Source organism: Homo sapiens, chromosome 4, assembly GCF_000001405.40.
Source record: "Homo sapiens chromosome 4, GRCh38.p14 Primary Assembly".
NCBI lineage: Eukaryota > Metazoa > Chordata > Mammalia > Primates > Hominidae > Homo > Homo sapiens.
Window position 1 is genome coordinate 153,813,440 of NC_000004.12, and position 26,688 is coordinate 153,840,127.

General features: G+C 39.3%; 1 long non-coding RNA gene across 1 annotated transcript in view, besides 4 other annotated features; it reads left to right on the forward strand.

The window, feature by feature from the left end:
* Window positions 9,452-9,621: an enhancer, noted in NCBI's record as "experimental_74898 CRE fragment used in MPRA reporter constructs". NCBI's record gives its function as "activates a minimal promoter by MPRAs in K562 erythroleukemia cells, with activity observed for both the introgressed and non-introgressed 4:154744128 variant alleles {active_cell/tissue: K562}" and the evidence as "EXISTENCE:reporter gene assay evidence [ECO:0000049][PMID:34662402]".
* Window positions 13,963-14,132: an enhancer, noted in NCBI's record as "experimental_74905 CRE fragment used in MPRA reporter constructs". NCBI's record gives its function as "activates a minimal promoter by MPRAs in K562 erythroleukemia cells, with activity observed for the non-introgressed 4:154748639 variant allele {active_cell/tissue: K562}" and the evidence as "EXISTENCE:reporter gene assay evidence [ECO:0000049][PMID:34662402]".
* Window positions 14,849-15,018: an enhancer, noted in NCBI's record as "experimental_74906 CRE fragment used in MPRA reporter constructs". NCBI's record gives its function as "activates a minimal promoter by MPRAs in K562 erythroleukemia cells, with activity observed for both the introgressed and non-introgressed 4:154749525 variant alleles {active_cell/tissue: K562}" and the evidence as "EXISTENCE:reporter gene assay evidence [ECO:0000049][PMID:34662402]".
* Window positions 15,384-26,688, forward strand: part of LOC101927947 (uncharacterized) — a 469,997-nt gene continuing 458,692 nt past the window's right edge. Inside the window, exon 1 of the long non-coding RNA XR_007058336.1 lies at window positions 15,384-18,517. This is a non-coding gene — a long non-coding RNA (uncharacterized LOC101927947). The remainder of the gene's footprint in view (window positions 18,518-26,688) is intronic.
* Window positions 18,259-18,428: an enhancer, noted in NCBI's record as "experimental_74908 CRE fragment used in MPRA reporter constructs". NCBI's record gives its function as "activates a minimal promoter by MPRAs in K562 erythroleukemia cells, with activity observed for both the introgressed and non-introgressed 4:154752935 variant alleles {active_cell/tissue: K562}" and the evidence as "EXISTENCE:reporter gene assay evidence [ECO:0000049][PMID:34662402]".

Genomic DNA, 26,688 nt, shown 5'->3' on the forward strand with positions numbered 1-26,688 from the left:
AAAAAAAAAAAAAAAGAAAAAAAAAAGAAAACCTAGGGACTGGCCGGGCGCAGTGGCTCACACCGGTAATCCCAGCATTTTGGGAGGCTGAGGCCAGTGGATCACGAGGTCAGGAGATCGAGAGCATCCTGGCTAACACGGTGAAACCCCATCTCTACTAAAAATACAAAAAATTAGTCAGGCGTGATGGCAGGTGCCTGTAGCCCCAGCTACTCGGGAGGCTGAGGCAGGAGAATTGCTTGAACCCGGGAGGCAGAAGTTGCAGTGAGTGGAGATCACACCACTGCACTCCAGCCTGGGCAACAGAGACTCCATCTCAAAAACAAAAAACAAGAAACAAAAAACAAAAAACAACAATCTAGGGACCACCAAAAGCCATGTGAACTGCAGAGTACAAATAACTTGCATTTTCTGGAGAATAGATGACTATATTTATTTAATCGTTTCAATTATGACTCTGCTTATTAGCTGCAAACCCCAGAATCACAAATTTAATAGGAATCTTTAAAAAAGACGTGTTAAAATTAGGGAATAAAGTTACACATTTGCAGAATTCAAGATTTATTGGGATGAGTATCTGTCTCATATGTTAGATAGAGTCTTCGTAGGGAATATTGGCTTCTGGCACATACTCTCTTGCCTTCTGTGTTCTTTCTGCCTGCACAAAGTGCTTTTTGTTCCTCAAACCAGTAGAAACTATTTAAGCCTTAAGTGATTCTCCCTCCATTCAGCATCATGTAAACCATAAACATACATGTTCTGTAAAGATACAAGAAAGGGTCCTAGCAAGTAAGTTTGTAGCGTTAGTAATACACTTCTATATGTTAGCACACTACCTATTTTGGAGTAATGTTTTTTTGGTCTGAGTGTTTTTGTTAGTTCGCTTTGAATTTATAAATTTTAATTTGGTTCAAAAGTTTATTTTCTGTTTTTTTTTTTTTTTTCCCTCTTTTGAGACAAGGTCTTGCTGTGTCACCTAGGCTGGTCTTGAACTCCTGGCTCAAGTGATCCTCTTGCCTTGGCCTCCCAAAGTGTTGGGATTACAGGCGTGAGCCACCACACCTGGCCTTCTGTGTTCTTTTGTTTGTTCGTTTGGTTTTAGGCTCCTAAGTAGCTGGGACTACAGGTGCATGCCACCACACCCAGCTAATTTTTTTTTGGTGTTTTTGGTAGAGACCGTGGTCTCACCGTGTTGCCCAGGCTGGTGTCAAACTTAGACTCCAATGATCCACCCTCTTTGGCCTCCCAAGGTGCTGGGATTACAGGTGTGAGCCACCACCCCGGCCTTATTTTCTATTTTTAATATGTGCTAGGATGCTGTAAATGAGTAAGACAGAAGAAATATAAATGAAGAATTAGCACATAGAAAAATTTCAACCTCAGGAGTCATCAAATGAATGTAATGAATGTGTATTAAAATGAGTCCCCCCCACCATCAGATTAACTAAGGTTTTTAAAAAAGCCTGTTGGTGAGACTATGATGCTAGGGACAATTTGTTGTACTGCTGTTGGAGTGAATGTCATAAGAGAGATCCAAATAAAAATCCCGGGGGGAAAGATCGAGATTGGAAACAGCAGAGAAAATTTCTGGAGGGATTAGTGCTTCAGGAAGATTTGAAGGAGGAATAAAATTAAAACAGATGGAAGGTAAAAATGGCAAAGCAGAGAGCTTGATTAAGGGTAGTACTTTTTCACTCCAGCATGTTTTGGAGATTTATCCCATTCATTTTAATGTTTTTATAGCATTCCATTGGATGAATATATAATAATTTATTTACTCATTCCCCTTCTGGTAGACAATTATGTTGCTTCCAAATTTTTATTGCAAACAAAGCTGTTTTGTGAACATCTTTGTATTTGTCTTCTTGTGCACATTTGAGAGATTTTTTTTTCCTGGATGTACGCTGAGGAATAGAAGTGCTGAGCTATGGGGCATGCACTAAAGTGCCTGTGCCAATTAAAACTACCACTGGCAGTGTTTGAGAGTTCTTATTTTCCCACATCCTTATACTTGGTATCGGCAGACACACACATTTTTATCAATTTCATAGGTGTGAATGAATATCATAATCGTTTTTTCAGTTCCCTCATTACAGGTGAGATTTGCAATATTTTTCACATATTTATGGCTCATTCAATTTCTTCTTGAGCACATTGTTTTTCTCTATTTTCTATTTTTTGTCATTTTCTTTATTGATTTGTAGGTCTTTATAAATTCTTGATGTCATGTTTTTAAAAATACATATTCTTGATGTCATGGTTTTTAGAAATCTATTAAGTGAATACAAATATCTCCACTTCTTCTTAGTCTTGTTTTAAAAAATGTTATTATGGTCTTTTCTCTCATCCAGAAGTAATTGTAATTTAGATAAAATTATCAATCTTTTTCTTTATAGTTTATGCTTTGTATGACTTGCTTAAGAAATTCTTTCCTAACGTATTTTCTAAAGAGAATGTTCTACCATTCTTTGCAGAATTTTTGCTTTTTCATAATCAAATCTTTACTTGGCTTGGAATTGATTTTTGTCTATGGTGTGAGGAAGGGTTGTAGCATTTTTTTCCCAAAAGATTGGCCAACTCTCCAAGCTCATAAATAATTCTTTTTCTATTTTATTTTTGTTATGTATGCATCACATGCCTGGCAAGTTATACAGGTTCCAGTGAGCAAAACTATGGAAATCCTCTCAATGGCAAAGAGTGTGTGCATATCCCTGTAGTCTGGGTGTTCCAGAAGCAGCTAGAGATGAGGAATACAGATCTGATTGAGTTTGAGTTCCAACTCTCTCATTTACAAACCAAGCAGGGTAAAAAGGATATTAACAGAATGAATTGATTTGCAAAAGTTGGAACTGAAATAAATATTATTGGGCAAAAGTTTGGGATAGAAATATAGCGTATCCACATCAATTTCAAATAGTTGGAAGGGGTGGAATATGAGGTTCTTCACTGGGTTCTGAAAGTATGGGAATGAAATGAAGAGAACCTTTAATAATACTAACTCCGAGAGCCTAAATAAAAACACTGAATTAAATCAGTTGAATGAAACAATATTAATGGAGTGCAAGGTGGTATGTATGTGAAAACCATTTGTTATTGGAAAAAGAGCTGTTTGCATATAGCATCAGGACATGGCTTACTCAGCTCCATTCCCAACTGACTTTTCCCTTGCCTTCCCTTTTGTAAAGGCTAAAAGTGAAACACTCCGTTTTCTTAGGCACCTCCTGCCTGAGGTGACCACTTGGCTCAGCTCTAGCCAGTGATGCAAATGGACAACATTCCTTTCCATACAAAAAGACAAAAGCTGCCTGGGAAAAGGTCTTTAGCCCTCTCACCTTCTTCCTTCCTGAAAATTGGATGTGGGGTCTGGAAGTGCAGAGGCCATCTTGAGATACTAAGGACAGTGACTTGTGGAATTCTGAGCTACTCTGACAGCCCTCGTGTTTCTACCTTAGACTTCTTGTTGCCAGAAACAAAATAAACCTGTATTTTTTTAAGTTCTTGCAGTGAAGGTTTTTATTTTTTATAGCCAAACATATGCATACCTGATATAGCTTTGATACCTCATTCCTTCATTTGTTCAATATTGTTATCACTGAAAACATTACAGTAATGGATGTATGTTAGTGAAGTGATGGAGGATTGAACAGAGGAAGGGAAAGAAGAAGATGGAACATGTACATTGTGTATATGGAGTTTAATTTATAATAGGAGGAATAAGACATGACCACAGTAAGAGATAGTTTATGTACCAACATTTGGCCCCAAGTTTTATCAGATAATCTTTTACAAGCATGTGGGATTCATTGTGGCAGTTTGGGTATTACATGGACATCTTTGTGCATCACTTTGTCCTGGGAACACATGCTATGTGCTCTGAAGGTTACATCAGGACTATTTTGTAGTATGAGATATCAGTATGTAGTATGAGTGATAGTATGAGTGATAACCAATATTGACATACTCATACTACATACTCTGGCCACATGGCTCAGCTCAGTTACATCAGGACTATTTTGTAGTATGAGATGTCTAAAGGCATGTTTTCTGCTACAAAGCAATCCATAAAAAATTTCAACAAGGAATTCCATCTACCTGTTATAGACACAGGATGTCCCTCTTCCACTGATGTGGCTTTGAAAGAAATAAACAGCCTGCTGTCATTTTGTGTTACCATCCTCAGCAGGCAGCAAGAATGCAGGAAAAAAACCTGCTTACAGCCAAGGGTCAGGATTAGGATGTAAACTCCTGGGAGTGTGTGTGTGTTTTATCCTGGTATCTCTCATGGTGACTAATTCCTTGCTTGTGCATTTCAAGAGCTCAAAATATTTTTGCTCTTTGCAATGGTCTGAATGTATTCTCCCAAAATTCATATGTTGAGACTTAATTGCCAATGTGGTAGTAATGCAATAAATCAGATTATATCTTTGTAAGCTTTAAGAGATAATTAAGTTATGAGGGTAGAGCCTTCATGGAAGGAATTAAGGCTCTTACAAATGGGCTTAAGGGAGTGGGTTCATTACCTTCTATCCCTTCCTCCACGTGAGGACATGGCATTTACTCCCTCTGGAGCATGCAGCAACAACATACCATCTTGGAAGCAGACCACAGTGCAATCAAATTGGAACACAAGATTAAGAAACTCACTCAAAACCACACACCTACATGGAAATTGAACAACCTGCTCCTGAACGACTTCTGGGTAAATAATGAAATTAAGGTAGAAATCAAGAAGTTCTTTGAAACCAGTGAGGACAAAGAGACAATGTACCAGAATCTTTGGGATGCAGTTAAAGCAGTGTTGAGGGAAATTTATAGCACCGAGTACCCACATCAAAAAGTTAGAAAGATCTCAAATCAACACCATAACATCACAACTAAAAGAACTAGAGAACCAAGAGCAAACAAACCCCAAAGCTAGCAGAAGACAAAAAAAAAAACATCAAGATCAGAGCAGAACTGAAGGAGATAGAGATATGAAAAACCCTTAAAAAATCAATGAATCCAGGAGCTTTTTTTGAAAAAATTAATAAAATAGACCACTAGCTAGACTAATAGAGAAGAAAAGAGAGAAGAACCAGATAGACAAAATAAAAAATGGTTAAGGGTATATCACCACTTAGCCCACAGAAATACAAACAGCCATCAGAGAATACTATAAACATCTTTATGCAAATAAACTAGAAAATATAGAAGAAATGGACAAATTCCTGGGCACATACACCCTCCCAAGACTAAATCAGGAAGAAGCTGAATCCCTGAATAGATCAATAACAAGTTCTGAAATTGAGGCAGTAATAAATAGTCTACCAACCAAAAAAAGCCTGGGGCCAGACAGATTTACAGCTGAATTCTACCAGAGGTACAAAGAGGAGCTGGTACCATTTCTTCTGAAACTGTTCCAAACAATTGAAAAGGAGGGATTTCTCCATAACTCATTTTATGAGGCCAGCATCATCCTGATACCAAAAGCTGGCAGAGATACAACAAAAAAAGAAAACTTGTAGGTCAATATCCTTAATAAACATCAATGCAAAAATTCTCAATAAAATACTGGCAAACCGAATCCAGCAGAACATCAAAAAGCTTATCCACCACGATCAAGTTGGCTTCATCAATGGGATGCAAGGCTGGTTCAACATACACAAAACAATACATGCAATTCATCACATAAATAGAACTAAAGACAAAAACCACATGATTATCTCAATAGATTCAGAAAAGGCCTTCGATAAAATTCACCATCCCTTCATATTAAAAACTCTCAATAAACTAGGTATTGAAAGAACATACCTCAAAATAATAGGCATTTATGACAAGCCCACAGCCAATATCATACAGAATGGGCAAAAGCTGGAAATATTCCCCTTGAAAACCAGCACAAAACAAGGATGCCCTCTCTCATCACTCCTATTCAACATAGTATTGGAAGTTCTGGCCAGGACAGTCAGGCAAGAGAAAGAAATAAAAGCTATTCAAATAGGAAGAGGGGAAGTCAACCTGCCTCTGTTTGCAGATGGCATGATCCTATATCAAGAAAACCCCATCATCTCAGGCCAAAGCCTTCTTAAGCTGATAAGCAAATTCAGGAAAGTCTGAGGATACAAAATCAATGTTCAAAAATCACAAGCATTCCTATATACCAGCAACAGACAAGCAGAGAGCCAAATCATGAATGAACTCCCATTCACAATTGCTACAGAGAGAATAAAATACCTAGGAATACAGCTATCAAGGGAAGTAAATGACCTTTTCAAGGAGAACCACAAGCCACTGCTTAAGGAAATCTGAGAGGAAACAAAAAAACGGAAAAATATTCCATGCTCCTGGATAGGAAGAATCAAAATGGCCATACTGCCCAAAGTAATTTATAGATTCAATGCTATTCCCATTAAACTACCATTGACATTTTTCACAGAATTAGAAAAAACTACTTTAAAATTAACATGGAACCAAAAAAGAGCCCATATAGCCAAGACAATCTTAAGCAAAAAGAACAAAGCTGGAGGCACCACACTACCTGACTTCAAACTATACTCCAAGGCTACAGTAACCAAAACAGCATGGTACTGGTACAAAAACAGACACAAAGACCAATAGAACAGAATAGAGAACTCAGAAATAAGACCACACTTGTACAACAATCTGATCTTCAAAAACCTGACAAAAACAAGCAATGGGGAAAGGATTCCCTATTTAATAAATGGTGTTGGGAGAACTGGCTAGCCATATGCAGAAAATTGAAACCGGACTCTTTCCTTACACCTTATATAAAAATTAACTCAAGATGGATTAAAGACTTAAATGTAAAACCTGAAACCACAGAAACCCTAGAAGAAAATCTAGGCAACACCATTCAGGACATAGGCATGGGCAAAGATTTCATGACGAAAACACCAAAAGCAAAAATTGAGAAATGGGACCTAATTAAACTAAAGAGCTTCTGCACAGCAAAATAAACTATCATCAGAGTGAACAGACCATCTGATAATAAAATATCAAAGAAAAACCCTATTTTTTTTTCCTCCAAGACTTGAGTAAATAGGAGAAAATTTTTGCAATCTATCCATCTGACAAAGGTCTAATATCCAGAATCTACAAGGAACTTAAACAAATTTACACACAAAAAAACCAAACAACTCCAGTAAAAAGTGGGCAAAAGACATGAATAGACACTTTTTGAAAGAAGACATTTACGTGGCCAAAAAACATATGAAAAAAAGCTCAACATCACGGATAATTAGAGAAATGCAAATCACAACAACAAGACACCATCTCATGCCAGTTAAAAAGTCAAGAAACAACAGATGTTGGCAAGGCTGTGGAGAAATAGGAAAACTTTTACACTGTTGGTGGGAATGTAAATTAGTTCAATCATTGTGGAAGACAGTGTGACGATTCCTCAAAGACCAAGAACCAGAAATACCATTTGACCCAGCAATCCCATTACTATGTACCCAAAAGAATATAAATCATTCTATTACAGAGATACATGCATGCATATGTTCATTGCAGCAATATTCGCAATAGCAAGACATGAAATCAACCCAAATGCCCATCAATGATAGACTGGATAAAGAAAATGTGGTACATATACACCACAGAATACTATGCAGCCATAAAAACGAATGAGATCAAGTTTTTTGCAGGGACATGGTTGGAGCTGGAAGCCTTTATCTTCAGCAAACTAATGCAGGAACAGAAAACCAAACGCCACATGTTCTCACTTGTAAGTGGGAGCTGAACAATGAGAACACATAGGGAGGGGAACAACACACAGTGGGGCCTGTTGTGGGGTTGGGGGAGGGAGAGCATCAGGAAAAATAGCTAATGCATGCTGGCCTTAATAGTTAGCTGATGGGTTGATAGGTGCAGTAAACCACCATGGCACATGTTTACCTGTGCAACAAACCTGCACATCCTGCACAAGTACCCTGGAACTAAAAAAAAAAAAAAAAAAAAATTGATGAATCCCAGTGTTGGTTAACATTAGTATTGGCCCACACTGAAATTCATATTGACCTCAGAGTGGAAGGCTATCTTTTTTTTTTTTTTTTTTTTGAGACGGAGTCTTGCTTTTTTTGTCGTTGCCCAGGCTGGAGTGCAGTGGCACCATCTCGGCTCACTGCAACCTCTGCCTCCTGCGTTCAAGTGATTCTCCTGCCTCAGCCTCCCAAGTAGCTGGGATTACAGGCATGAGCTACCACACCCAGCTAATTTTTGTAGTTTTAGTAGAGACGGGGTTTCGCCATGTTGGCCACACTGGTCTTGAACTCCTGACCTCAGGTGATCCGCCCACCTCAGCCTCCCAAAGTGCTGGGATTACAGGGGTGAGCCGCCACGCCTGGCGGAAGTTTATCTTTTGTGGTTGCTTTGACTTTGTGGGAGGATGGATATTGGAACCTCCCATGGGGAATACTGCTTGCTTGACTTATTTTTCTTCTCCATGATGTTAGGAGAAAAATCTTTCTGACCAGAAGGCTAACTCCTCAGCCAAAGTGGCAGTCCGTCTGCCGTATCACTGGCTTTACAGGGGAAAGAATCCCAAGAGGTCAGTTGATCCAGGATCCAGTCCTAGGCTGGGAAGACATTTCTGCTGTTTTACAGGTGAGGTACCTGAGGCCCCAAGAAGGCCAAGCGACTTAGCCAAATCACTGAGAATGATGCTGATGGTGGAGCGGAGATGCAGTGGGTGTAGAGGAAGACAGGGGTTGTAGTAGTGAGGGAATGAGAGTAGATGCTAGAATTCCTGGTTCTTCTCTGCATTGCTAATCTATTGGAGATTGGCATCATGCCTTCATCTTTGAATCCCTGGCACCTTCACAGTGTGTGGCAATTAATGTGCCCAATTAATGTTGTTGAATAAATGAACCATAATGGCCCCCTCTGGTCAAAATCCTCTATGATAAATTCTCGTAACATTACGTATCGTTCTTTCACAGTACTTGTTACAGTAACAACTTTCCATTTTTTTGGAGTGTGATTATTAAATCAATGTATTTCCCCTTCACTAGACAGACCATAATAAGCTCTATAAAGCTTTTAGTAATCACTGAATCATGCAGTGCTTGGCACTTAATAGGTGCTTGGGACATATTTGTAGAATGAATAAATGATCTTGGGCAAGAATGGCCTTGGGAGGTTCAGTTTGGGCTTAATAATGGCAGCAGCAGCAAAAACTAGTATTAGTTTAAGGTGTTTTCATAGGTATTATTTTCATTTAATAATTTAAAAACTCCTACTAAAAAGGTATTATTTCTATCATATAGATGAAAAAAACTGAGGAAGATCAGAGAGGTTAAACATCTTAAAGTCTGATACTCTATGATCACTGTATTACAAATGTGGGCCCTGGGTTATTTGTTGTCCATACAGCCAGACTTGCAGAGATCAGTAAATGTTTTATGGCACATGAAGTGAATGAGAGAATATGTGATTCTTTTGTATTTTTTGTGTATTGGTTTAGAGCAAAGGCATTTTTACATATGAGAAGAGCTCACTGGAATTGATAATAAGGGCTCACACCCCCTCACTGGCCCTGTAGTAACACAAACACTATCTTCATTTGTATTCCAGGGGCCAGCCAGAAACGGTTGATGTAAGATGTCTTATAGGTCCAGCTGATGCTAACAACCAATGAGAGAAAAATTTTCATGCTTTGAAGACTAAAATACTTTCTCTCTATGAATTTATAATATAAATGATTGACAACCTGAATAAGATAAGGGAGGCCTAGGTCCATGGTTCTTAAGCTTTTGTGGCACATAGGATCATTTGATGGGACACAGATTAATACAGACCCCTTAATCTGGTCATTTCTTACTACTAGAAACATGGGGATAACAATGTCACTCCCACTAATGTGGAAATAGTGGAAAGGATGGATTTGCATGTATGAGTGCCTTATGGGTAAATTATAAATATATTCCTGAAATTGACTAGAGACGTGAGCACCTTGTGAACTTCAATGCTATAGGAGACCAGCAGAAGCTCCTTTGTGGAACATTGGAATTCCCAGGCCGCAGCCAAATGCCACTGGCTAATCACCTTAGAGTTTTAATTCAGGAATGGTGGGTTGAATCTTGAAAATACATGAATGTAGAAAAGGTGAAAAGGGGATGTCAAATGTATACTAATGACCTTTAGAAGATGCATTAGAAATGGGATTGGATTCTTATGAAGTGGACAATTATTACTACCTGGTAATATGCTTTATTTCACCATGCCAGTTCAACGAAGGCATTCAACAGTTACTTGTTGAATGAAATAGGACCTCCATTCTATCATATGAATGCCTAGCTAGAGAAAAGCCTTCCCAGACCAAGAAACTTACCTCTATTTCATGTAATATTTGCTGAGGTGAATGGAAATCTATCCTGTGGTGACACCAAAAGAGTCTATATTCTGTCATTTCATGTATTACATAAAAAGGATGGCATCAGAGACATTTCAGATGACATGTGGAATTCCTGTAAAACATTCTTGATGAGGCTGACAAAGACAATTCCTTAATGATGTTTGTTTCATTTTTGATATAAATGGAAAGACTGAAGACAAATGTAAACGAAGGAAAGTGTTTCTAATAATAACAATAATATGAATGTATGAGGTATCAATCTTTGCGTTACTGATCATTGATTTATTTCTTGGTGAGATCTTTATCACAGGATGACCTTGTTGCCAAAAATTACCAAGTATTGGGAAAATGTATAGCTACTGATAGGAGCATGTGCAGATTTGCTTTTTGTCAGTGTGTGTTTATGTTACATGTAGATATTGTCACTTTATTTAGCAAGGCGTTCTTTCTTCTTGAGTCAAGAATATAATGTAAACTCAAGTGAATTTCTCTTTAGTGAGAAGAGCATTTTATTTTGTCCTTTCTGGCCCTTATATTCATACTTTTGACCACCCACAGGCGAATCCAGGAGAACCAGAGATAACTTCCATAGACTGGAAAACCAGGATGAAATTGTGTGTATTTCAGTTTAAAAGATTCCTTTCAGGGGAATTATCACTGTGATGTTGGAAGATATTCTTTCATTCACAAGGCATTTGCAAGATCTATTATGTATGAAATTACTCACATGTAAATATTTTGTAGATGTAAAGCAAATTTGCTCCCTGCAAAATGGACCCAGTGGTGGGAACCAGTTTGAGGAGATGAGGCTGTATTTCCCTTCTCTAAGCATCACCAACAGAGCTGCTTAATCTGAGTCTGGAAGAGATCCAGTGGGATTTAGTTTTATGAGTTTTAATGTAAAGGTGTTGTATTTCATGAGATGAAATCATAACACAGTGGATTGCAAGAATTTTGAGAGATTATTTTTTCAGAGTCTTGGCAAGCACCATCCTCTAGAGAATTTTGTGTCTAAAAAAGAAATATAGATATTCTTTAATAGGATTCACATGATAGCTAATCATTAATTCCTTCTAGATGGTCAGGGTTTGACTGGAGAGGCTGATTTGGAACATCTGGAGCAGGTCTGACCTCTCTAGTTGGCCTTTATTGAATTTGTGACTTCCACAGCATCCTAAAACTTCAAAGTACATGGGCAATGCATTTTTTTTGGGTCCTCTACTCCTAAGCCATGATTACAGTTCTTTTTATTTATATATAGATTATACTTCACCTTTAGTCTTCATGCACAGTTTGATTCTCTATGAATTTTGACAATCCAAATGAATATTTGGCCAAGACAAGAAAGGTTATCAAGCTGTATCTCAGGTTTCTTTCCTCTCCCGTTCTTGTTATGTTTTCAGCTGAGAAGAAGTTCTCTGTCTCTGTTTTAGAGAAAGCTGAGCCATTTCCTTGACTTAAGTTTGACCTTTTTTTTGCTTCATTCTGGAACACGTATAACTGTTCTTAGGCTAAACATCTCTCTACTTTTGTGACTGTCTCATCTCCAATTTCCCTGTAATGCAACATGTTGGAATAGGTTTCTCATGAATGGCAGGGGAGAAACAAGACGCTCTGGGAGAAATCTGGCACTTCTTCTGATTTTGATGTGTATGGAAGGTAGTTTGTGTTCTATGTAGCTGAGAGCCTTCTTGAAACATGGCTCAGGCAAGAAAGTTTCGGAAGTGCAATTAGTTCAGCATGGGAGTCTAGCAAAACGAATGTATGCCCCAATGTATGTAGCACTTTTCCCAGGGAGATTTGTTCCTACCTTATTTTAGAAATAATAGATGAACTCTTAAGACTTTATAAAAGTTCTGCAGCGGCTGACATATCATCTGTAAAGATAAAAAGATGTGTACATCAGCACAGATGTGTTTGTATGAAATCGTGCACATGATAGACCTCATGTGGATCCTCTAGTGAATTCTCATGGTAACGCTGATGAAATTGGTGTTATGGAGGAAGGGAAAGAGGAGTTATGAGTTATTACCATCAAGCAACAAATGTTACATTCCTTATCTTTCTCAAATGCTGTCTTGCAAATGCATATCAGAGGAGATTATGATTGGAGAGAGTCCAGGCATTAGGATGCTGAGGGAGTCAAGCTGAGGGAGATTAAGCAGCTAGGGTATGAGCAGCAAGAGGAGCAAGCTTACTTGCAGCTGTAGACTATCACCTATCACCTTGCTTTCCAAACTTGCCTGCTTACCTGGGGAGTGTGTTAAAAATGGAGATTCTTACAGACTTAGCAAATCAAAGTCTCCAGGGGAAGGACCTGGAAAATAGATTGTTTTTTTTTTTTTTTACTTTCTCTGTCTACAAGGTTGATGTGCAATGCCACTGAAATAATGTAGATGACACAGCCTTGAAAAACAGAAAGGTTTTTTTTTTTTTTTTTACCACATTCTGGGATTTTCTTTATTTATTTTTATTTTTAAAATTTTACTTTAAGTTCTGGGATACATGTGCAGAATGTGCAGGTTTGTTACATAGGTATACACGTGCCATGGTGGTTTGCTGCACCCATCAACCCATCATATACATTAGGTATTTCTCCTAATGCTATCCCTCCTCTAGCCCCCACCCTCCAACAGGCCCTGGTGTGTAATGTTCCCCTCCTTGTGTCCTTGTGTTCTCATTGTTTAACTCCCACTTATGAGTGAGAACATGCAGTGTTTGGTTTTCTGTTCCTGTGTTAGTTTGCTGAGAATGATGGTTTCCAGTTTCATCTATGACCCTGCAAAGGACATGAACTCATCCTTTTTTATGGCTGCATATATTCCAATTGCTACAAAGAGAATAAAATACCTAGGAATACAGCTTACAAGGGATGTGAAGGACCTCTTAAAGGAGAATTACAAACCACTGCTCAAGAAAATAAGAGAGGACACAAACAAATGGAAAAACATTCCATGCTTCTGGATGGGAAGAATCAATATCATGAAAATGGCCATACTTTCTAAAGTAATTTACAGATTCAATACTATCCCCATCAAGCTACCATTGACCTTCTTCAAATAATTAGAAAAAATCTACTTTAAAATTCATATGAACCAAAAAAGAGCCTGTATAGCCAAGACAATCCTAAGCAAAAAGAACAAAGCTGGAGGCATCACACTACCTGACTTCAAACTATACTACAAGGCTACAGTAACCAGAACAGTACGGTACTGGTACCAAAACAGATAAACAGACCAATGGAACAGAACAGAGGCCTCATAAATAACACCACACATCTACAACCATCTGATCTTTGACAAACCTGACAAAAACACGAAATGGAAAAAGGATTCCCTATTTAACAAATGGTGTTGGGAAAGCTGGCTACCCATAGGCAGAAAACTGAAGCTGGATCCCTTCCTTACACCTTATACAAAAATTAACTCAAGATGGATTAAAGACTTTAATACCTAAAACCATAAAAACCCTAGAAGAAAACCTAGGCAACACCATTCAGGACATAGGCATGGGCAAAGACTTCATGACTAAAACACCAAAAGCAATTGCAACAAAAGCCAAAATTGACAAATGGGATCTAATTAAACTAAAGAGTTTCTTCACAGCAAAAGAAACTATCATCAGAGTGAGCAGGCAACCTACAGAATGGGATTTTTGCAATCTATCCATCTGACAAAGGGCTAATATCAAAAATCTACAAAGAACTTAAACAAATTTACAAGAAAAAACTTTTTGATTTGCCCATCAAAAAGTGGGAAAAGGATATGAATAGATACTTCTCAAAAGAAGACATTTATGTGGCCAACAAATATATGAAAAAAAGCTCATCATCACTGGTCATTAGAGAAATGCATATCAAAACCACAGTGAGATACCATCTCATGCCAGTTAGAATGGCGATAATTAAAAAGTCAGGAAACAGATGCTGGAGAGGATGTGGAGAAATAGGAACGCTTTCACACTGTTGGTGGGAGTGTAAATTAGTTCAACTATTGTGGAAGACAATGTGGCAATTCCTCAAAGATCTAGAACCTGAAATACCATTTGACCCAGCAATCCCATTACTGTGTATATACGTATATACCCAAAGGATTATAAATCATTCTACTATAAAGACACATGCACATGTATGTTTATGGCAGCACTGTTCACAATAGCAAAGACTTGGAACCAGTCCAAATGCCTATCAATGATAGACTGGATAAAGAAAATAGAATTTTTAACAAGCTGACCAGCTGATTGCTATGATCAGGTAAGTCTTGGAACCACTCACTGAGTGTAATCAGACGGGCATTGAAAAAGGGTTGGGTTTTGTGAGTATGGGTGTCAAGGGTGGCTATGGATGCTAAATAACATAGTCAAAGGGATATTTCCAACTCTGTGTTTGTTGAAGAACACTGACTTTATGTTCTTCAATGCCCCATCTGTAATGCCCCACCCATTATATTTCTTTCAAAATTGATTCAAGAAAGACCTTTGTCTTTCCCAAGAAGATGGTTTGTGTCATTTATGAGATGAAATGTTGCCACTTCCTGAGCTCCCATTGCCTCAGTTTCCAGGAAATGTGATGCCAGGTTTTATGCTCTATCACTATTACCACATCTACTACTATGATTGGCCTGTTAGATTTTCTTTTCCCACCATTTTTACCTTCTTTTAAAACCCTATTTTGATTAATTTTTATTTGTTTTGTAAGTGATTTCCAATTTCTTTTTTTCCCTGAAAAGTGGCAGAGTATAAATGTATTAAATTGAACCCATAATTAATAGTTGCTAATGGAAGGAAAATAAGATAGTGATTAAATGATGACAAATTTAAATAACTTTCATTTCTGAATGCAGTTGTACCTGTACCAAACATACGTGCATTTTATCCTTCCTCCTGCCAATGACCTAATGTGGGTTAGGGAGAGAGTCCGAGAGGCTAGGTCAATTATGGATACTTGGGAAAATGCATATTTTAAAGCTAACTGATGTAATTTGCATCTGCAAATAATAATCACAGTTCTATATAATAACAATAGATTATAATAATATAATAGTTCTAATAATAATAATAGTTCTATATAGGTAGGGTGACTTTTTCCCTTTTATTCATAATTCACAATTATGGGTGTAATTAGAGATATGGTAGGCAGCATTTTTACTTCTTTTGTTTTCACATTAAAATAAAGATCCACCCAGGGAATGCACAAAAGCAAGAAACACAAAGCAGACAAAGGAATTTCTAATGAAAATCAAGCCCCTCACCCATCCCGTCCAACAACAGTCCTTCTCAGAGGTTGTCACTTTGAACTGCTTCAGTTTTCAATTATGTCAGTGGCCACTTAATAATTTCAGGTAGTATGGATACACCATTGGTTTTGAATTCATCTTTTTTTGTTCTTTGCTGTTTTGAAATTTCAATTCTGTGTCCAAGTGGTTCCCTTTATATGCAGCGTACTCCATGAGCCCATACAAATAAAAGACTCACTTTCTCCAGGTCTGAGAATATTTGATTATTATTTCCCTAATAATCTCTCACTCTTCATTTTCTCTATTCTCCCTTTTAGGAAATCCTACTGGATCATTCCTCCTCATGTCTCCCCTCCCTCCATCCTGCTCCCTTTCTTTCCGTTGCTTAGAGAAGATTTTGTTTTTGTTCCTGGAAGGTAAACACTGGCTTACCTACCTCTCTGTGAACAGGGTAACTGGTCCAACTTTTCTATTGCCAGGTATTCAACTAATTCCTTGTTTTCAGTTCTGTGCCTCACACCTGTCCTCCTCCTTGATGGTATTTGTAGGTTTCTTCTGCAAAGGCTGTTTCCCACCTCCACTGTAGACTTAACCTGCACATACTGGAACTGTAGCTGTCTCTCCTCTGTTTGTCATCAATTGCCCCCCTGGGCCTTCTCTCTTTCAAAATGTATTTATGAATTTATCTCCTGTGGATTTCTTTACTTTCAGTAAGTTTTTAGTCTATTAGTCAGAGTCGGTCACATTATGATGCATTAACAAACAAACCCTGAAATCTCAGTGGCTTCATACAATCAAGGTGTATTTCTGCCTCACACGAAGTCCAGTTTGATGCTCCTGTTTGGGGAGCTCTTCTGGTCAGTTCTCCTCAAAGCTGTGAGTCCTTCACTCCCTTTTTTTTTTCTGCTTTGCTATTCTATTAAGTATATATATCATATTTTACTAAAGCATCGCCTGATCATTGGATCTTTAGATGACTCCAATGTTTTGCTTTTATAAGCATTGCTGCTACAAACTTCTTAAAACATATTTTAAATTTTTCTTGACTTAGAATTTTTCCTTAGACATAGAATTACTTAATGAAGAGTCTAAAAAATTTTAACGTCTACCAAATTGCTCTCCAGAAGGCTTTTTCAATTTATTCTCCCACAGCATTATTATTGTTATTTTCTAATTTAATTTTGTACTTGAAGAATTTTTATTTTACTGAAGCTTTATGCATGGGAGAGATTTCCTCCCTTTTGCAACAAATTACATTTCCTCTTTTTATATTGTTTGTTCATGTAACTTTAACATTTTTTCTAATGGAAATTATCAATTTTTAAAATGAACTCTTCATATATTAAGCCTAGTAACCCTTTAGATAACTCATTTTATCACATGCTAGAGGCTCGTATAAAAACACGCAAACTTGGTTTCAATTTACGAAAAACTGCTGGCTACTTTATCTTTTCTCCTTTGCTGTTTTTCAGTAATGGAGGAATGAGCTATAAACGCACCTTAGGGGACTTATAGTTTCTCTTTTTTCTTCAAGAGGTTATGAACAAAGTTTTCCTAGAAAGTTTGTTTATCAGTTTTGCTTAGAGGAGTGAGTGTAGTGTATAGTTTATTGGGAGAAGGTGATGCAACATTTTAGGACTGAGAGACAATGGTGGAATGGGGGCAAGGAGAGTAGCTGGCAGAGAAGAAAAGGTGAATCTTTTTAGATATTTGGAAATGAAATGGCTGGGTGTCAGAGTGGAGACGGAGGGGTGTGATGGGGTCAAATCTCGAGATTGGGAAATTGTTAAATGAGACTATAACATATAAAATAGTTAAATGACAATGAGACTATATTGCAGAGAAATGTCTGCCACAATCAGAGCTTCAGCTAAAACCACATAGGGGACTTAATGATTGTTAAAAGCATTAAGGAAAGGTGAAACCTAATCAGTTTTTTACACTTCACTCTTAATGTGTTAATGACTTGTTCTGATTCTTTCCTGAGAATGCCCTTTGGTAGGAGGAGGGAGCAAACCTGCAGCACTGGGGTACGACTTGGAGATAACAATGAGAAGGAAAAGGCAGAGAGAGAGAGGTGGAGGATCCAAAGGCACATTTTCCCCTTTTGGTTGAGTGTGATGCATTCTGGACAATGACTTGAGCGCCACCAGGAAAGGGGAGAATGTAAAGGGCAGGCAATATATGGAGGCTATTCCCTGAGGAAGTGCTGGAGAGCATGCCACAGCTTGAGAGAACTAGTTTCTGAGGTAGGTAGGATGCAGAAAACCATGGCAAATGCAAAGGCTGCCCAAGGAGCCATGTGGGTGGATGTCTTCCATTTTAGCAGTGAAAGCTGCAGGGATATAGTTACAGCGGGATCATCAGGGATGCCTCTGCTTCTGATTCTCTGTGTGTCAAAACTTGCCAACTCTGCAAAAAAGATCCCAAACAGAAAGATACAGTTGATTTATTCTGTCTAGGTTCAGAGTAGAAGTTTATATAATATATTGGTCAATGATACTGAAAGAGCCAAAAATATGACAGCAGGGATTAAATGTCAAGCCAGATTTATCTTGTCTGACCATTTCTGGATGATGTAAAATAGCACACTATCTTTAGTTTGGAAGCATATTAATTTATCTGGATTTTTTTTTTACTTGAGGGGTAAACTCATGTTGAGGATTTCATTAAAAATGGGTAATTCAATCCAACAACTAGACCTTATGTGGGGTTATTCTTTTTTACTTTAAGGTGGGAGAACAAAGAGTATTTTTCAAAAACTAATTTCCTGATTTTCAATTTCTAGAGATCTCTTAAAGCCATCAGAACTATTACTGCCTAAAACACGCATGGCAAACAAAAGTGTCTCACTGGATTTCAAATAAGGGGAATAATCAGTGTTAAGTGCTGCCTTATTGGATTTCTTCCTGATTTTTTTGAAGCTCTGGTAAATCTTTATAATTTCTCTTTTATGCACTAAATTGTGGGTATACTCTAGAATGTATCTCATCATGAAGCAGATATAATACTAGCTGATACATATTAAAATGGTTAGGAAACATTGCTTTTAAACAATTGTGACTCACACCAAAATTTGTATTTAGTAACCTAAATACACATATAAAACAGATGATATCCTGTTGTCCTAATTTCAGCTGATGCTCTAAAGCTGAGTACAAAGCAATAACTAGCTCCTACATTCCAGAGGCGGGTGGATTAGTGACCTCCCTGCTGGATTTATAAGAGGATAGCAGAGCCAGTCACAAAACGATCAACCCGGTCTCTCACCTTCAAGCCATCCAAAATAAGGTTAGACCTTTGAAAGATGGGTTGGAGAAAGCCATCAAGGTAAACAGTTAAAGGTAAAAGGGTTGTGTCAGCCCAGGAGATAGTGGCTGTGTGTGTGCGTGTATGTGTGCAAGTGCATGTGTGTGTGTGTGTGTGCGCACGTGTGTGTGTGCATGCACGTATACATGGCCAGGGAGGTGGGCGGTAGCACTTCAAGAGAACTGCTCATAGAGATTTGGCATATTCTTAAAAGAGAGAGAGAATCTCATTTCCTTTCCCACCTGGCTGTTTGCTGAGCCACAGAAGTTTGTCAGCTCACTCCAGGTACTGGAGTGGAGCTCATAGAGATTTTCTGGAAGCTGCCTGGCTCTGGCAAAGGGGTGGCAGCTGCAGGGCCTGTATTCCCACTGGGAAGAATGGCAAGGATGTGAATTTTCCACAGGTCAGCTAGACATTGAGGAGTGAACCCAGGTTGGAGTCATTGTTATGGACTATTAAATTAAGTCTAGCCTAAAGCTGCCTCCTTACATATTTTAAGTTCAGCCTAAAGGTTTCTCTGTACATAGTGAACCGTAACCTAACTGGATGTATAAATAGACCATAACCTACTCTTGGTTCAATCACTGAGGTTTTGCCAATCAAAGGTGGCCAACTGTTCAAACTATGTTTAAATAAGGCAAACATGGAACTGAAACCAATCCAGCTGTTTCTCTACCTCCCTTCCATTTTTGTGCATCATTTTTGTTTTTCTGTTTACAAATCTTTTTTAACCACATGGCAGCACTGGAGTCTCTCTGAACCTCTTCTGGTTCAGGGGCTGTCTGATTCACAAGTTGTTCTTTGCTCAACTAAACTCCAAATTAGCTAGGCACGGTGGCTCACACCTGTAATCCCAGCACCTGGGGAGGCCAAGGCAGGTGGGTCAACTTGAGGTCAGGAGTTCCAGACCAGCCTGAACAACATGGTGAAATCCCGTCTCTACTAAAAATACAAAAATTGGCAGGGCATGGTGGTTCATGCCTGTAATCCCAGCTGCTTGGGTTGGGGCTGAGGCATGAGAATTGCTTGAACCTGGGAGGCAGAGGTTGCAGTGAGCCAAGATCGCAGCACTGGCACTCCAGCCTGGGCAACAGAGTGAAACTGTGTCTCAAAACAAAACAAAACCAAACCCTCCAAATTTAATTTGTCTAAAGGTTTTCTTTTAACATGCCTAAGAGGGCAAACTTCAGGCCTGAGGTCCAGAAGCCCCTTAAAAAAGAGTTTAAATCTCATCCAAAGCTGATGTTCACACCTATCCTGATGCATCTGACTATCGCTGTAACAGATGCTTACCCCAAGGGAACCTGGTTCAAGGGAGATTAGGAACAGGGTCCCTGGGAGAAAGTTACCCTCAGTGAACAAGGAGTTGGAAAGGATGGGGAAGACCAAGCCTGCGACCCAATGTCAGGATGGCACACGGGATCTAAGATGGACAACCATGCCCTCCTGCCCACAACCATGTGTTCTGTGTAAGAGGATTGTGTATGAGGAAGATGCAAAATAATAATGCCACAAGAGCCCCCAACCCCGTTGTTGTGAGTGCCCTTGACTCTTCTGAACAAGAAGGACATTAAGAAAGAAGCTGCTGCCCTGAGATGTTAGCAGGAGAGCGGCAATAGTGGCCACCACAAGATGGAGGCCAATGCCTGAGGCTGGCAGTGCAGAGAGGGCTGAGGCCTGGGGTTCCTTGTAGCCAAGAGCAGGTGAGCACAGGATGTAGTGGCCTCAGTAATCCCACAGCAGTGGCACTGGAACCCAGGGACCCCAGAACTGTGTGATGGAGAAAGCAGTTAGAGAGCAGAGATGACGGCTCCACTCTGAAAATAGTACCATCACCACCGTGTCTGCTCTCGTGGAGCCTCTCAGACACCTTGGGGCTGGGAGCTTGAAGGTAATTCCTATTTAGTAGATGAGGACCATTCATTCAGCCCACCTAGCCATACAGTGTCACAGTGCTCTTCTACGATTCTCAAGCTGCGTGGGACCTTGGGAACCCCTGGGTTACACTACAAACTCAAGTGTGACTCACCTATCCCCAAGGAGGGTATTTCTTTAGAAATCCTCTGTGATACTCATTAGAGAGCACTGTAGGATGTTGATAAGGAGGACAAGTGTGGCAACTTTCAACATTTAGTGGGCTTTAAAATAGTTTTGCCCAGTCTATAATCTAAGACTAAAAACTGTAATGTTCATGAAGAAGTTAATATCGAATAAGTCTCTGGTTGAGAAAAAAAAGGGAAAGAAGTGTACCTCAAATGCTTTGAAGTGTTGCTCTACTTGCTTCTTTTCTGGAGGACAGTGACCCACAAGTGAGATTCCTTGTAGAAGCCTTGAAATGGTGCAACAGCTGGTTTTATTGGAAAGAAGGGGTGCCAGTGCATATCAGACACCTCTCCCTATCCATCAGATAGATTTCCTAGATGGCTGCAGGGTCAATGTGCAGTCTACGATAAATGCACTCACATATTGTAACCCAAAGAGAAACATGAAATGATTCCTTTGTCCAGGAGAATTTCAGAGGCTGAAAACTCCATGACCCTCTAACCTCCCAATCCCTTTCCTCTGTGCACTCTCTTTCCTCTTGCCTTGTTTTGTTGAGGGATTTTCTTTTGTCTTCTGATTCTGCTTCATTTGGCCAGCTCTCTGCGGGTCTTTGGCACCTGGGAAGGTCTGAATGTGGCTTTTGTGTTTGCTGAACTGCACTGTGCCCAGCCAGGCAGAGATGATCACTAAGCTTTTCTATAGCTTCATAACTGCAAATTGCTCAGCCATTTGTTGTTTAATCCTCACAAGCCCTTTGTCCTGGAGGCAGTGCGGCATTGTCATCACCCTTCATTTTCCAGTTGAGAAGGCGGACGATATGTGACTTGTTCAAGGACACAGGTTGAGTTGAGAATCTGTCTGCTTGGGCCACGGGAGACTTGCAAGTGAACACAATAGCAGTGAAGCCCAACTGGGAAGAGTGGGTTAAACTGGGCTAGGCTGAAGTTTGCATCCTTTTGAAGAAATTCTGACACCCTAAATTGAAGGTGTGAAAGAGTTACTGGTTGAAGACCTCTAGCGGGGAATCATGCCACAAAGACAGCTTGTACACTCAGATTATTTCTGGGTGGTAGCACTTATAGAGATATAATTTTGAGGTTAATGCCATATAGGTTCCTTGATTACTTTAGGTGATCTATCCAGGCAATAATGAGTCAATAAAAGTCTCTAGCTTGTACTCCCATCCTGCCTATTGTGAAGGCTTTGTCCCTTCCCCTGGACCATGTCATTTCCCCTACCTTTTGAAGGTAACTTTGATTTCTGCTTCATTAAGAAAATCTAACTCATCAGGCTTTTAGCTTCCTCATTCTTCTCTTTTTCATCTTTTCTAAGCTGTCCTTTTATTAATCCTACCTCCTCTCCTTCTGTTTTCAGGAAAAAGTGGATCTGTCCTTTTGTCTGGGGGCAATCCTACCTTCCTCCCCTTGGTTGCCTTTGATTTACCTTCTCAATGATTTCCTTCACTCTTCCCAGTGCCCTCTTCCTCTCTGGCATATAAAGCCTCTTCTATTGACTCCAATCCCTACACGTATGCATTCACGACACTACTTTATCTTGATTTCAGGTGATCCTAATACTCTTTCCAGCTGCCTGAGTATTTTCCTCTTTCCTCCTCTTGTAAACGTTTTGAACCAGATGACTCCACTTTTTGTCTCCGCTTCTTACCTCCCACCTTCAACTTCTTGTGGTCTTACTCTGACATCACATGCTGTGGATGCTGCACTCATTCTTCTGTGTGTTTGGTCTCCAATGACCTGTGATTGGCCATACACAGTTTTTTTTTTTTTTCTTGCCTTCATATGTGATTATTGTATGCAACATTTGCTATTGTAGATTATCCCATGCTCTTGGAATCTTTTTCTCATCGAGTCCCATAATACAGCCTGTCCTTGTCCCTTTCTGTGTTGGACTGTTCCCTGTGTCCTTCATAAGCCCCTTCAACCATATCCAGAGGTGCTTTCTTATCTTATGTCCCTCAGAGAATTCACTTAGGGCTTTCTCTAATGATCCACTATTATGACAACATTACACCTAAGTCTCTACTTCTACCTTGAAATACCCTGCTGTGCCAAACTCCTAATTTCAGACTTGTCACTGGACATTTCCAAATTGATGACATGACAGCAGCTGAGGCAAAATGTGTGTAAAATGGAATTCATCATCTGCCCTCTGAAGCCTGCTTCTTCCTCCTGAGTTCCCATTTCTGTTAATTATGTCACCAAGGGCTAAATCTTAGGGCCATCTTTGATCCCTTTCTCTCCTTGTCTCCTATCATCCAGTTAAGTCCTGTCACTTCCTCCATCACAGTGTGCCTTGGATGTGTCCTTTGCCCTCACACTGCCATGGTCCTGGTGCACTGCCTCTGACCTTGGCCTTCCTCATCTCTATCACTTGCTCCCTGACCTTCCTCTCTCCAGGCTCTCCTCTACCATCCATGCAGCACATTCTCTAGAAGAATTTCCCTGCATTTCCAGTTACAGAGTGACAGTTATTTTGTTCACCTTCTTTCCTGGCTCAGAAATTAGCAGTAGTTTCTTATTACTTCCGAAATCAGCTTCAAACGTAGCTGCCTTCAGACTCTCTGCCTCTGGGCCCTGCCGCACATTTCTAGCCTGTTCTCCTCCTTAATGTCCCACAAGATTCTGCTCCACTCAAACTCAAAATCCCTGAAATGCTCCTTGTTCTTTTTCACATCTTTTTTTTTGGTTTATGGCATTTCTTCCTCCTCTGACTCACTTTCTCTGTTCTCCATCCCCAACGCTTCAAAACTGCCTATTCTTCATAACCCAGTCCAAACGCTACTTAACTCAAGGGGCCAATTCAGGTGAGAGGAAGGAAGGAAGGAAGGAGATCCCTACAATGTCCTGACAGTTGTTCACTGACACTCTCAGCCATCCATGTACTGTGTGTCTCTCCATTGCTCTTGTAAGCAGTGCTTCCAACCTCAGCTGCACAATAGAATCACCTGGGAGCTTCTAAAAAGTACCAAAGCTCAGGCTCCACCCCAGACCAGTGAAATCAGAATATGTGGGGCCATGACCCAGTGATTCATATTTTTAAGGCTCATTGAGTGACTCCTCTGTGCAGCCAAGGATTAATGTCTACTACTATGTGAATTTTTGTAGATTATTTTTAATGGCTCTGCGTTTTTTTCCTTTTTTCCAACTTTGGTTCTTGTGGGATTCTTTGTTTTTTAGCCTCTGTGATGTCTAGCACTGTTGTTTGTTTGTTTGTTTTGTTTTGAGACGGAGTCTTGCTCTGTCGCCCAGGCTGGAGTGCAGTGGTGCGATCTTGACTTACTGCAACCTCCACCTCCCTGGTTCAAGCAATTCTCCTGCCTCAGCCTCCTGAGTAGCTGGGATTACAGGTGCACACCACTAGGCCTGGCTAATTTTTTTGTATTTTTAGTAGAGACGGGGGTTTCACCATGTTGGCCAGACTGGTCTTGAACTCCTGACCTCAGGCAATCCACCTGCCTCTGCCTCCCAAAGTGCTGAGATTACAGGCATGAGCCACCGCTCCCGGCCAGCACTGTTTTTTATACTCAGTGGAACTTCAAAGAAAAAAAGTGTTAAGATTTAAGAATGGAAAACAAATAAAAAGGGTTGATTTTTAGGGAAGGAATGCCAACTGGCTCAGTGGCTATCCCACACTGGAAATGTTAAGAGTCTCTTGTATGTTAAATAACCGACTTCAAGTATTTGGTGTAAACTATTTGTGTCCAAGCAGTTAATATGCGAATTAAGCATTTATTAACATTTGTCTCATGAAGCCTCACTTGCCCATGTAATAATATTAGTTTGGTGCAAAAGTTAATTGTGGTTTTTGCCTTTAAAAGTAATTGTATGTAGCAATTAATATAATGCTACATACAACTCAAATACCTTGGATGAGTACCTGTTCTACCTCTTGGGTTGTTCTCAAGATTAAACACACAAAACTTCTGGGAAAAAACAAAAGCTTTAAAAACCATGGTTAGATATTATTTTTAATGAAGCTGTATTTTTTTTTTAAAGAAATGAATCTTAAAGAGCTCCTATTCAATGCATTCTCCCTTTCAGGAGCACCATTGAATACCTTAAGTCAAAAGGAAAACTTGTCTTGTGGTGGGCATATCTGCTTCTCTCCCTATGCTATATTTCTGATATCAGTTTGTGGATGTTGCAGAGTTTATTTTAGTCTAGGGGATGGGAATGAATTTAAATTCATTTCTACCTCAGGTGAGGCAGCCCCTTTCAGAAAAAAATAGGAAATAAAGAAGGAAGACTGCTGAGAAAATTCTCTTTTCAACTTAGAAAAGCACAGAATGCCTCTTGGAGAGTGATTTAATGGCCTGGACTCTGTAGCTTATAGATTCATGTTCAAAATCTGGCTCAGTTGACCAGCTATGTTGATCTTGGACAAAGTGCTTGGCCTCGCTGTGCTTTGGTGTCCTCAGCTGTGCATAGAGAGTAACATTTAGGTCTCAATGTTGGGAGAATTGAGCCATAGGATATATGGAAGGTAGCTGACACTTAGTAGGACCTCACGGAGGTTCCCTTTTCCTTAAGGCACCATGGATATCAATGAGTCCTGTTTTTGTCGTGACCTTAGCAGGCTTCCTCTTAGTGTTTTTCAGGGCATGCATTTTACTGGTATGTTGGTAAACAGAAATATACAATTTCACTTTGGGTCTGAGAGGTTTTCATTATTTTTTGAACCACAAAATGATTTTCTTTCTTTCCTCTTCTGTAAATTCATTGAATGTTGGAATTCCTTTGCAGTACCTTTGCCATAAATTCTACTCACTACATATAATTTAAATCAAGCAGGTATAACATAATTGCCCTCATTAGGAGAGTGTAGGACGGTATACTAACTTTGCTTCCAAGGAATTCACATTACCATTTGAAAAAATTTCGAAACTGATTTTCCCAGTTGCAGAAGTTTCTGGAAACTTGGATTGAAGAGTCTGCATACTTTGGTGGGCTTCTAGTTAATGTATTGCGTTGAACATAGATTTCTTGAACGAGTCACAGTAGTCTCTTATAAATCACAAAGAAAAGTTCATCCTCATTCTAGTTACAAGTCCTACGCCATGAATCAAATCTTAGCAAAGACCAGCTTAGAAATCTTGAAAAAGGCCTGACATTTTGTTAAAATGACAGGCAACTAGATTTCTCCTGCCCTCCCTCCTCACATTTCCTTTCCTTGTTCAACAACAGTACAATTTGTGTAGTGGTATTTTCAGTCTTCTTTTTCTATACTGAAAGTAATTTTTTAAGCATGAAACTGGGTACTTTGTTGCCCCCATACAGAAAGACTTTACAGGTTTAGCTGGAATAGAGTTGAAGAGCACATAAAGTTGATGTCAAGGCCTACTTACATTGAAGTAAAATTAGATTTATGGATTGAAATGGGAAGCCTAATTTGTATGTGCCTCCTTCCTAAAAGCCAGCTATAATCTAGAGGGAAAACTATCTGAACCAGTCTGAGTGAACCCAACCCATTTCATCTTCTAAGACTGGTTTGTTCATTACTTAGGGGATAAAGGCAGAGACTAGCTCATGGGGATTAAGAATGACAGAGTGGCCCTCCGACACTAAGCTATAAATGTATTAGCATATTTTAGTACCTTGCCCAGATAGCCTGGGTCTTTCAAAAAAATTGTTTTTTAAAGAATGATAAGATACATTTTTCCTCCACCCCAATTTAAATTTTCTGAATTTCTATTCATGGATCAATATTTCCAATTCCTGGGTAACTCAT